Source organism: Homo sapiens, chromosome 8 (genome assembly GCF_000001405.40).
Source record: "Homo sapiens chromosome 8, GRCh38.p14 Primary Assembly".
NCBI classification, from domain to species: Eukaryota; Metazoa; Chordata; class Mammalia; order Primates; family Hominidae; genus Homo; species Homo sapiens.
This window is the reverse complement of record NC_000008.11, coordinates 24,302,574-24,315,148: the sequence shown is the minus strand read 5'-3', so window position 1 is coordinate 24,315,148 and position 12,575 is coordinate 24,302,574. Positions and strand designations below refer to the sequence as shown.

General features: G+C 36.2%; 1 protein-coding gene and 1 long non-coding RNA gene across 19 annotated transcripts in view; one reads left to right on the top strand and one right to left on the bottom strand.

Moving 5' to 3' along the window:
* Positions 1–12,575, bottom strand: part of ADAM28 (ADAM metallopeptidase domain 28) — a 64,946-nt gene that overhangs the window by 43,866 nt on the left and 8,505 nt on the right. For 15 of the 18 annotated variants that reach the window (NR_130710.2, XM_005273380.5, XM_017012974.3 and 12 more), the window contains exons 3-6: positions 5,179–5,255; positions 4,908–4,986; positions 3,712–3,788; positions 1,569–1,761 (exon numbers count right to left, since the gene is read on the bottom strand). Coding sequence is in view for 15 of the 18 variants with exons in the window: in XM_005273380.5 (XP_005273437.1) it covers positions 1,569–1,761; positions 3,712–3,788; positions 4,908–4,986; positions 5,179–5,255 (426 nt within the window). In the remaining 3 variants the exon portion in view is untranslated. Of the gene's footprint in view, positions 1–1,568; positions 1,762–3,711; positions 3,790–4,907; positions 4,987–5,178; positions 5,256–6,380; positions 6,509–12,575 lie in introns of those variants that run through there. The other 3 variants (XM_047421272.1, NR_130709.2, XM_047421273.1) reach the window with 3 other exon arrangements.
* The window catches only part of ADAM7-AS1 (ADAM7, ADAMDEC1 and ADAM28 antisense RNA 1), a 252,805-nt gene that overhangs the window by 233,470 nt on the left and 6,760 nt on the right, over positions 1–12,575 (top strand). The window lies entirely within an intron of this gene.

The window sequence follows — 12,575 nt, the reverse complement described above, 5'->3', positions numbered from 1 at the left end:
CAGCCATTCAGCCACTCTTTATCTTTTGATTGGAAAATTTAATCCATTTACATTCCTAGTAATTATTTATAGGTAAGGATCTCCTACTGCCATTTTGTTTTATAGATTTCTTTTTCATTTCTTCCTCCCTTGTTTATCTTTGTGATTTGGTCATTTTTCTGTAGTGCTGCATTTTTATTCTTTTCTCATTATCATTTGTATCTGCTATAGTTTTTTTTTTTTTTGTATTTACCGTGAGGTTTACATAAAACATCTTATAGTTGTAATGGAGTATCTTACACCAATAACAACTTAACTTCAGTCATGTATAAAAACTCTAGACTTTTATCTTCCCCCTGACAATTTATACTTTTAATGTCACAATATACATATTTTATATTATATATTTCTTAACAAATTATTATGGGCATCATTATTTTTTACTCATTTGATTTTTAAGTGTCATACTAGAGATATATGTGATCTACAGAGCACTTAAAATATTGGAGTATTCTGGGTTTGACTATACATTTACCTTTACTACTGAACTTGCTGGTAGAATTTAAACCTACAGAAAATTAAACTGACTAGAAATTTTATTTAGACCAATTATACCCTTTGCTCACAGACTCTGAGAACATTTAAAAGAAATGATTGGATTTGAAATAAATCTTGGAAATAAAAGCAGTATCAATAAGAAATAAAAGTAAGGTCAACAAAGATATTTTGATATATACAGTCTAAAACACAAAACTATATTCATTTATCTCCTATGACTAGAAGCAGAATTCCACACATAAAATAATATTCTAAGTTCCTGTAGCCAGATTCTATGTCTATTTTGCTCATTTCTATCTTCCCAGCACCTGTGACAGCACTTTAAGAGAGATTTGTTGAATGAATTTATGATGACAGCAAGATATTTCAAAATAATAATAATCACTTCATAGCTTTTTGGCTAAAATCAAGAGTAAATTAATAATAATACTTTATATCTTTGTGGTTTATTGTAGGCTACAGGGAATAGTGTGACAGATTCCTGCTTCTAGAGGGCAGTTATATTTTACACTTATTTTTAACCTTTGTACATTGCTGAAAATAATAGTTGATTCCGGCTAAGTGCGGTGGCTCATGCCTGTAATCTCAGCACTTTGGGAGGCTGAGACAGGTGGATCACCCGAGGTCGGGAGTTGGAGACCAGCCTGACCAACATGGTGAAACCCTGTCTCTACTAAAAATACAAAATTAGCTGGGCATGGTGGCACATGCCTATAATCCCAGCTACTCAGGAGGCTGAGACAGGAGAATCACTCAAACCTGGGAGGTGGAAGATGTGATGGGCCAAGATCACACCATTGCACTACAGCCCAGGCAACAAGAGTGAAACTCCATCTCAAAAAAAAAAAAAAAATAGTTGATTCCTAAGTACTTGTTAAATGAATCATTAATGTCTAGCAATATTTAAGGATTAGTGTCTCTATAACTTACTAATTTTGACAATGACTATAGTTTCAGTAAATTGCACTGCTAATTCTGGAAACCAGGGCAGAATACATGAGAGCATTTCAAATAAATAAAGTTACACATACTACTAGTTTGGTGGCAGGTAGGGCAATGTTCTGCTGCAAATCGTGGGCCCACAACACACCATCCATCCCACAGGTGCTGTCATAATTCTTTTCATCAGGGTTATACTTGAAGAGTGCATGCTCCTGTCCATCCCGATGTATGGGGCTTAAAGGTTCAATAAAGTATCTTTGATCCCCCTGACTGAAGTAGCCCCTGAAAAAACATGAGAGTTCTGGCTTCTTAACAAATATTGTTGCATTAGGTTCATACAGATTTATAAGATCCAAAAGAGGACCTTTAAAATTCCTAGTCAATGTCAAAAACAATTTAAGCTCATGGCAATAAAATACAGTAAAACTTACAGCTGAAGATACCTTGAAGATTATCTAAACTTATTTTCTACAAGGAAATAAGACATATTAAGGAGAAGTGACTGCTGCAGTGTTGTACAAGCAACCATATCAGTTCTGGCACTAGAATGAATATTTCCTGACACTTGGTACAGCATTCTTCCAATTTTAATGCTATACTTGTTCTAAAGGTACACTTATAATGAAAAGGATTTTAGAGTTTTATAGATAAGTGTTAATATACTGGCTTTATAACTCATTCACTGTGATACATTTGGAAAATTCTTTAAACTCACAAGCCTCAGGTTCTCCACATTTATTTGTCTTAATACCTACCTAATATAGTGATAGTAAAGATTGAATGAGAGAACATGTAAAGCACATGACAAATAAATATTATCAATTTCTTCTCAATTTTCTCTGCTAAAGCCTTGAACCAGGGTTCATTCAACCAATATTCATTGAGTACCCATTATTCATTAGGCATTGGACTAAGGGTAGACAGCAAAAATAAAGACATGGTCTCTTTTCTTATGGAGCTTATGTTCAAATGAGGAAAATGGATGTGTATCAAATAATCACAGAATATATATAATTATATAGTAAGTACTTATATATAATTATAATAATTGATGTGAAGAAAAAGTACAAGAGATATAATAGACAGACTGAATTAAATGTACATAAAATTAGATAATGGCAAGAGTGGATATAAGAAGATAAATTATGGGGTTTATTGCAATGGTCTGCATAAGGAATCATGGTAGATGGACTAGGATATCGTAGTAGAGACAGAATGAACAATTTCAGAAAGTGTTTAGAAGATAGAATCAATAAGACTTGGTAAGGGATTGAAAATGCAGGGCTGAGGGGCAAGCAGACCTCAAGGAATTTAGGTTTCTGAATTGGGCAAGTGATTATCTAATTATACCATTGATTAAAATAAAGAACATGGAAACCATACCAGATTCAAAAGACAATCATTAGTTTGGTTTAAGGCATACTGAGATTGAGGTTTCTTTAAGATATCCAACTGAAAATATGAAAAAGAAAATTAGATAATCAAGTCTGGACATCAGAAGAGCCACCTTACTATAGATTACTATATATAGACAGATGCATAGTATATCATTAACAGACAGAATGGTATGTCATAGTCATGGATAAGGCAATCTAGAGAGAGAGCGAGTGAGAGCTTAAAGTGGGGAGAGAGTCTGGGGGTGGTGGCTCATGCCTGTAATTCCAGCACTTTGGGAGGCTGAGGCGGGCAGACTACTTGAGGTCAGGAGTTCGAGACCAACCTGGCCAATATGGTGAAATTCTGTTTCTATTAAAAATACAAAACCTAGCCAGGTGTGGTGGCGGGCATCTGTAATCCCAGCTACTCGAGAGGCTGAGGTAGGAGAATCACTTGAACCCAGGAGACTGAGATTGCAGTGAGCTGAAATCGCACCACTATACTCCAGCCTGGTGACAGAGCAAGACTCCATCTAAATCAATGAGTAAAATAAAGTGAAGAGCGAGAAGAGAGAGCAGCTCCCATTACCTAAAGATTCTGACTCCAGAACTGGGATTCAAAATCCTGTATTTTAAAACTAAACTAACAAAAATATATTTGAAAGCAATTCGGATATGTAATTTACAAGCCACTATCAAGAGAAGCGGTGTTTCTTCAAATTTCAAAATGTTATGGCCCTTATGATTTATATTCAACTATATAAAAATTAATGATATTTGGGATTCATCTGGTTGGTTAGATACATACATAAATACCACAATCACAGGTACATGCAAAACATTCCTGAAGTCTTACCTTAGACCCCTACATGTGCTGATGCTAGCGTCAGAAACCTTTTCATTAAGAATATGTCCTTGATAATAACAATCATCCTAAAGGAAAAGGGGTTTTGTAAAGAGAAGTACATGTGAATTTTAGCACCGCTGCTAAAGCCGCATCTGAAATCTTGAAACAGGATTTTAAATGCTTTCAAACAATATTCTGCTGTACAACAGTAAACTAAGATGTTTAAAAAATAATTAAAATCTTTCATGTAAGTTAAAATTGTTAATGTCAGTTAATGATCCCAAAATGTTTACAAGGTATTAACTGTCAATGTTGACTAAGTAGGATGAATGTCAATAATACTTAGATGGAATAAACTTGGATATGTCAGTTTAAAACCTGAGCTCCTAAAACACTGGACACTCATTTTTCCTTTTGGCCATTTTCTCATTAACTTCTTTCTAGCAAAGATCTACAAGCTTTTTTCCAAAGGATAGGTTATTTAGATTGGGTTTTTGTTTTTTCTTTCTTGATTTATCAAAAGCGTTCCATCAGATTAACTGGATCAGCACATTTCTTGCCTCCATTTGGAGCAAAATGCCCTTCTTAACATTTTTTCGTGTGGGTGTTCCATGAAGGACCTTTCTAGTTCGGGACAGATGAGGTGTTGACCCATGTAAACTCTGATATTATTGCTACAGAGAACAATGCTTGAAGGGCTTCCCATGGAAAATGGAGCTCAGAAAAAGAGGTAATGGTGCATGACCCCTCACATGGCTACACACTGTCATCTGCTCAGTCTAAGAAAAGATGGGCTATGAATAGCAGTAAAGAGAAATTGTTTAAGAAAAGCAATTCTGCAATTGCCATTGAGGAAATAGTCTTGGCTGAAGAGACCACAAATCCAGAGAAATGATAGAAATTGATTGAGAACACCAGAGGTATGTAACTCTTCACTCTCAAGAAAATAACATGCTCCTTCTACCCACCCTCCTACAGGGGTCCTTAAAGGCTGGAAAAACTTACCGGAGTTGCCAAGAAATTGTTTTGTTCTTGTTAATTGATTTTCCACTTTTCTTTTTTTTATATTTTAAGTAATGGCTACTGCTGAAAAAAGCACTAATGTTACAAATGCAGTTTCACTTCTATTATTTGCCTGGCAAGGACACTACCTTTAGGTCTGTGGGTAAAACCCTAATTAAAGAATTGAAGAGACTCCGTTATACCATAATTTGTGGGCTTGTGGTGATCTCCTTTCCAGTGGAATTATAATATGTTTCCGTGTAGCCTGGTGCAAGGAGGTTCCTGGAGAAAGAAACACAAAAATGTTGTGGTTACTTGTGCTGATTGCTAAGTCCATGGAAATTCTCAAGTCATTTGAGAGCAAACGCTGATTAGTCCAGGTTTGTGTGAGCCATAAGCAGCAACAGACTCAGCACACTCTCCATAGGCTGCCTTGCTCTTGCTGAGGATAATATCACAGGTAAAGATACTTACTTGTTTTTTTTCAAATAAAGCACTGCAATTTTTCCATTAATTGTCATTTTATACTTTAATTCAGTTTCAAATTGTTCCTGCAAAAATACACAAACATTTACTTGTAATTAAAAACATATTCATTTGACTATTATATTTCTATCTGTGTAGTCATTAGCAAGCAATATCTATTTTTTAGCAGTATAATACCAAATACTTGCCTCTTCCCCTCTTGACAGATCAAACAACTCTGGCAACTAAATAAACAAATTATCTGAGAGCCTTTTATCCATCCACCCTTCCAACCATCCTTCCATCCATCCATCCCTGCATTTTAAAGTATCGTTTGAGTGAGTGCTGTTTCTTTGCAAGATACTGCTTGGTTTTGAAAATTCTACTCTAAGCAAGAAAAATTGGTACGTACTGTCAGAGAGCTTATGATCTTGTGAAAAGACAGACAATGAGGTGAGTTATGTGCATGATAATGGATGTATATAGTAGGATGTCTCACATCTTAAAGCCAGGAAAGGCTTTTTTGAGGAAGTAATGTTTAAAACGACACATAAATTACCCAGGTGAAGTGAGTAAGGGAAGTTAACTGATTAGAAGGAATAGTGTACACAGACGCCTAAAAACTTCTATCACATCTCATGATTTTTGGTCTTGAAGTCTTCTCAAGACTAACTGGAACATAAACTATGAGAAACATAACAGGAATGTATACTGTAATGTGAGGAAGAACCATCAAGAAGAAACCACAGTCCCAGGTATTTAAGAAGGAAGAAATATTACCTCGGGTAAACCATGTAAAAGGAAAATTATTTTAAACTTGGATATTGGTATATAAGGAGAGCTATTGAGGACTACACAGAATTATTTTAAAGAAGATGTTTTGGGGTACTAAGTTCTGACTTTGGTCTATAAAACAGGGTTATTGGCTGTGGTTGCACTCAATATCTAAAAAGTTATTAGGAAGTGCCTCGTTATTGTCATTAAAGATATCTAAATATGGTAGACCAAAGGTTGTTGAGAAACACATATTATGGACTGAGTTCTGTTTCTTCTGCTGTGGTGCACCTAAGCTCAAGCCTTCCTTCTCTCCCTCCCCTTCTGGCCGGTATGGTATCTGAGCTCACAGACAGACAAGGCATGTTAGAATCATCAGATCATGAGCACCGTGCTGGGATTTAGCCCTCTCCAAAGTCAATTCTTACAGTCCATACTTTGCTTAAATCCTCAGTTGTTGAGGTCTGCTCTGCTGTCAGTAATCCCAGGCTATAAATTTCCCCCAAATGTGGGCCTAGATAAGTAGAGGTTGATGGACTCAGCTTATTTTCATGGATGACAGGAACTGGAAAGAGAAAGGGCATTGAAAATAAAAGTTATGCAGAATAGTCATAACCTCTTACTGTTCAGGATTAAGAAAGCCTAGCTAGAATGAAGCCATGAGAATGATACCAAATATGGTCTTCTACCAGAAATGGCCTTCCAGATATCTGCTTCCTGTTCAGCAATGGCTTTTTAGTAGATTTAGTTACTAAAACTTTAGCTGAAGGTTGTTTTAGAAAAGAATAAATGCTTTTGGAGTGGAGTTTTGGTTAACACTGGCATAAAGATTATGGATGGAAGGAAAGATGAAGGAAGAAAGCCAGGGCCTCTATGAAAGAGAGTACACTGGGTAATGTAATAATAATACTTTTGAAAGAGAGTTCCCTGGTGGAGAGCAAGGTTTGAGGATAAGAAGTGTGTTCTAGTTGTGTACTCTGTAGGTTCTGAAGTATGCATCAAGAGAAGTAAGATGCACCTTGATTTGGAGAGCACTCACTATAAGGAAATGATTTTGGTTTTACTGAGTAAGACTAGCTGACCACAGAAACATATAGATCCAAATTTCCTCTAAAATAATGACATGGGTCTGATTTAGTGGGTGGATTGGGAAAGCCACAGTCCTGGATGTTTCTGGGATGGAGCAAATCTGTAAGGTCTAGGGGATGTCAATGGGCACACAGGAAATATCAAGGGCAGCCGTAGAATACACAGAGAGGTTCTTAATTCTAGTAATACAACAGTTGTTCAAAACTTACAGTAAATCCGTGAGCTCTAGAAACCCTGCTAAATCAGCTAATGGGCCTGAAAGAATTCTCAATCTGAGGGAGGAATTGTGCTGTAAGATATTTTCTTTTACGACATGGGCCAATACCAAGATGGTTTGGGCCTCTAAGAACATGTACAATCTGGATGCTGAATTCTCTGAAGAATAGTTACTGTCTTTAGAATTTAAGTTCCCAGCATCAGGGACTTTCACAGAGTATAGGTTAAATATGCATCTATGGAGGTTTATGGGTAATATGCTCCAGTCATAAACATTTATTCATTTGTCCATTAGTTTACTTACTCATTTGGTCATTTATTTAACACATACTTATTTAGTCCTTATGTCATTCATATAAATACAATCGTGAATATGATTATGAATAAAATATTCAAAGTTCCACCTTGTTCTTTACTCCCAGCCCCCAAAAATTTTTACACAGGATTATTTCAGTCTAGCTGAAATATTAAGCAATGTGGCATGTGTGATCAAGTCAGAAAGATGACGTCACAACCCTGGCGTAGCTGACAGGTAAAGCCAGTGCCTCAGTTCTCTGGTTGTATAATAAAACAACACAGGGCACAGTTGTATAATGATAACTACAAAAGTCTTCCATCTGTTCACTGTCTTGAGAAGTGAAGCACTTAATCTAGGGTGAGACCTATGAAGCTTTCATGGGATATACAGAGATCCCCTTGATCAGAAGGGTGGTCAACTGCACTATGAATTTGGGATCGTTTCAAATAGTATTTGCTAATCAAGTCTTTGCACAGGGAAGACCCATAGTCTCAACACAGAAACTACAAAGATAACTCCTAAAACTTGGCTTATATCTAGAAGACAGTGTTCTTATTAGTCATAAGGTGTGCCTGAGAGACTATAGAAGAGTCTATGCCAATGGAAATCATGTATTTGTTGTGTGGCAAACAAAGATGTCACTAGCTTCTTCAGTCTATGTTTGTAAAACAACTGTGATATGGCAGAACCCAAGAACCCTAACAGGGCAGGAGTGAGATATGAGGCATGCAGCAGCATTAGGAACCTTAGATCTGTGGATAGGACAGAATCTGGAATCATGGACAGATTGCTAGGGCTTAGTTCTGGATGCTCACAGGGTGATATCAAAAGCCACAGGATAGGATTGCCAGATAAAATACAGGATGCCAATTAAATGTGAATCTCAGATAAACAGAGAATATTTTTTTGTTTATACATAAAAACACACAATACTTTTTAAAATACATATGCCCCCTATGACCATGGTGACATACTAATGAAATATTTGTTGTTTATTTGAAATTTAACTGGGCATCCTATATTTCTGTTTGCTAAATGTGACAATCCTGCACATGGAGGAGTTTAGAAGATGTGGGAAAGAATAGAAACTAGAGATCAGCGACTAAGGAAAAGAGATGCAAATGCACTAGCTGGGAAAATTAGATTCATTCTGTTGGAATGCTTCTTTATAATTATATCAGAAGTGTTGTGTGGAACATATATATATATATTTTTAAATATATATATATATATATATATTTATTTATTTATTTGTATTTGAGATGGAGTCTCACTCTGTCACCCAGGCTGGAGTGCAGTGGCATGATCTCAGCTCACTGCCACCTCTGCCTCCCAGGGTTCAAGTGATTCTCCTGCCTCAGCCTCCTGAGAAGCTGGTGTTACAGGTGCGCACCACCACACCCAGCTAATTTGTGTGTGTGTATTTTTAGTAGAGACAGGGTTTCACCATGTTGGTCGGACTAGTCTCTTAACTCCTGACCTCGTCATCCACCCGCCTCGGCCTCCCAAAGTGGTGTGGGACATATTTATACAAAAAAGTTTTACTGTTTGTCTGAAATTCAAACTTAACTGGTACTCTGTATTTCATCTGGCAACCCTGTCATGCGGTTTTTGATATCTCCCTGTGAACAGCTGGAATTAAACCCTGGCAAAACTTACTGCTAATGGTTTAGCCACATGGTTATTGTGGGGTAATTCAAAGGTGTCACCTGACACCTGAGATATTAAAAAGTAAACATGGGAGAGTTATATTTATTTCTGAGATGCTGTGGAAGCATTCAGTGCTCATTCCATTATATTCATCAGGCCTCATAATATATTCTCTTCTACACTCTTCAACCAAAGGGAGCAGGAGAGAACTTGGAAATGTAATAGATGAAACTAAAAAAATAAAAGATTTTCCATTTAAAGGAACATTAAAAGGTTCTAATTGTTTAGGTAATTTTTTCTTCAATTATCTATGGTGTTTATTTAATACTCTTATTTCCTTTAAAGATAAAATTAATGTGCTTTGCAAGTATTTATTTAGACCAACATGTATTAATGAAACAAGTATTTATGTTCCAGGACAAGGATTGGCAGGTGAGGGTGAAGGAGGAGTAGAGACATAGCAAAGACATATTTTAAAAAAAAAAAAAAAAAAAAAAAAAAGAAACCTCTTAAAAATTTACCTGGACAGTTTCAAACCAGAAGTGAAGGTTACACTTGCTCTCATAGAAACACATGCACACACACACATACACACACTTGTGAACACACCATCGCTCCTGACACAAAATCAACATTTCTTTTTAAAATCAGTAGCTAAACTTTATAATACTGACTGTGACTGACGCACGATTTCAGGATAGGGATATATTAGTGTATATATGAATATGGCAAGTCAGCTTAACAAAGACTATAAGAGACTCTAAATATAGAGTCCCCTAAATGGGAGGGACTCTAAATGTAGAGAGAATATTTTAAGTAGCAAGAAATCCATTAAAAAAAACATAGAAGTAGAAACAAGAATATTATTAAGAAAAGCAACCTGAAGTTGATAATTTATGTCGAAAAGAAGAATTTTAAAATAAAGGTTTATTAACTGGGACATGAAGCCACAAAAACTGAAAATTAGTCATAAGAACTGGAATATGATGGGCTACACAGGGCAGCACCATAGCATAATCTATTTTTTTTTTTTTTTGAGAAGGAGTTTCACTCTTGTTGCCCAGGTTGGAGTGCAAATGACGTGATCTCAGCTCACTGCAACCTCTGCCTCCCAGGTTCCAATGATTCTCCTGCCTCAGCCTCCTTAGTAGTTGGGATTAGAGGTTTCCAATGATTCTCCTGCCTCAGCCTCCTTAGTAGTTGGGATTAGAGGTACCCACCACCACACCCAGCTAATTTTTTGTATTTTTGATAGAGACAGGTTTCACAACCTTGGCCAGGTTGGTCTTGAACCCCTGACCTCAGGTGACCCACCCGCCTCAATCTCCCAAAGTGCTGGGATTACAGGTGTGAGCCAATGCACCCAGCCCATAGCATAATCTTGAATAGGGAGTTAAAATTTGGATCCTTCCTTGCTTTTCATATACATTATCCCCAAATATTTATACAAGTATTATGATCATCTCCACTTTAAGACAAGAAACGTAAGGTTTATGTTTGTCTAAATTTATACAGAGAGAATGGACAAAATTTACAGGTGAACACAAACTAATCCTCTGAATTCAGCTCCTATATACTTGCACTATGGATCAGGAAAATGTAAGGTTCATGTAGCCATTTAACCTAGTAATGGACTAGATAAATAATATAACTGCAGTAAATATCAAGCACATTATATCAACCTCATCCACCTAGTCAATCATTGCAAAAATTAATATTGTTCATCTAGTATGAGCCAGTAACTAGTCTATGGCTTTCGTTAATCAAAATATATATTCAAAACTCAAATTTATTTTTTACAGTCGTGAGGAAATCACTTCACAGCTGTGATTAAAAACACTTCACTTGTGTTTAAATTTTCCTCAAAATGTTCAGTGAAAAAAGGGTGTTTGGTGTGCACGTGCATGTGTGTGTGTGTGTAAATGTTGGGTTTTCTTGGAAGCATTGTTTACTGTGAGAAAAAAACACATAAAGAGTAGATAATTAGTGTAAATTTCCACAAGGACACAATTAATCATTGGTTTAGTAGCAAAAGGTTGATAACAAAGAAGATACAGGTGAACTTGTAAAATTTCAGCTGATGGCTAACAAGGGAAGTGAAGGACCTCTTCAAGGAGAACACAAACCACTGCTTAAGGAAATCAGAAAGGACACAAACAAATGGAAAAACATTCCATGTTCATGGATATGAAGAATCAATACTGTGAAAATAGCCATACTGCCCACAGTAATTTATAGAATCAGTGCTATTCCCATTAAACTACCATTGACATCTTTCACAGAATTAGAAAAAAATTACTTTAAAATTCATATGAAACCACAAAAGAGCCTGTATAGCCAAGACAATCTTAAGCAAAAAGAACAAAGCTGGAGGCATTATACTACCGGACTTCAAGGTGTATTACAAGGCTGTAGTAAACAAAACAGCATGGTACTGGTACAAAACAGACACATAGACCAATGGAAATGGATAGAGAGGTCAGAAATAAGACCACACATCTATAATCCTCTGATCTTTGACAAACCTTACAAAAACAAGCAATGGGAAAAAGATTTCATATTTAATAAATGGTACTGGGAGAACTGGCTAGCCACATGCAGAAAATTGAAACTGGACCCCTTTGTTCCACCTTATACAAAAATTAACTCAAGATAGATTAAAAACTCAAATGTAAACCCAAAAACTATAAAAACCCTAGAAGAAAATCTAGGCAATACCATTCAGGACATAAGCACAGGCAAAAATTTCATGACAAATCATCAAAAGCAATTGCAACAAAAGCAAAAATTGACAAACGGGATCTAATAAAACTAAAGAGCTTCTATACAGCAAAATAAACTATCATCAGAGTGAACAGACAACCTACAGAATGAGAGAAAATTTTTACAATCTATTGATCTGACAAAGGTCAAATATGCAGAATCTACAAGGAACTTAAATTTATAAGAAAAACAAACAACCCTGAACAATGAGAACACATGGACACAGGATGGGGAACATCACACACTGTGGCTTGTTGTGGGGAGGGGGGAGGGGGGAGGGATAGCATTAGGAGATATACCTAATGTAAATGATGAGTTAATGGGTGTAGCACACCAACATGGCACATGTATATATATGTAACAAACCTGCACGTTGTGCACATGTACCCTAGAACTTAAGGTATAATTTTTAAAAAAAAGTGGACAAAGGACATGAACAGACACTTCTCAAAAGAAGACATTCATGCAGCCAACAAACATGAAAAAAGCTCAACATCACTGATGATTAGAGAAATGCAAATCAAAACCACAATGAGATACCATCTCACACCAGTCAGAATGGTGATTATTAAAAAGTCAAGAAACAATAGATGCTGGCAAGGCTGTGGAGAAATAG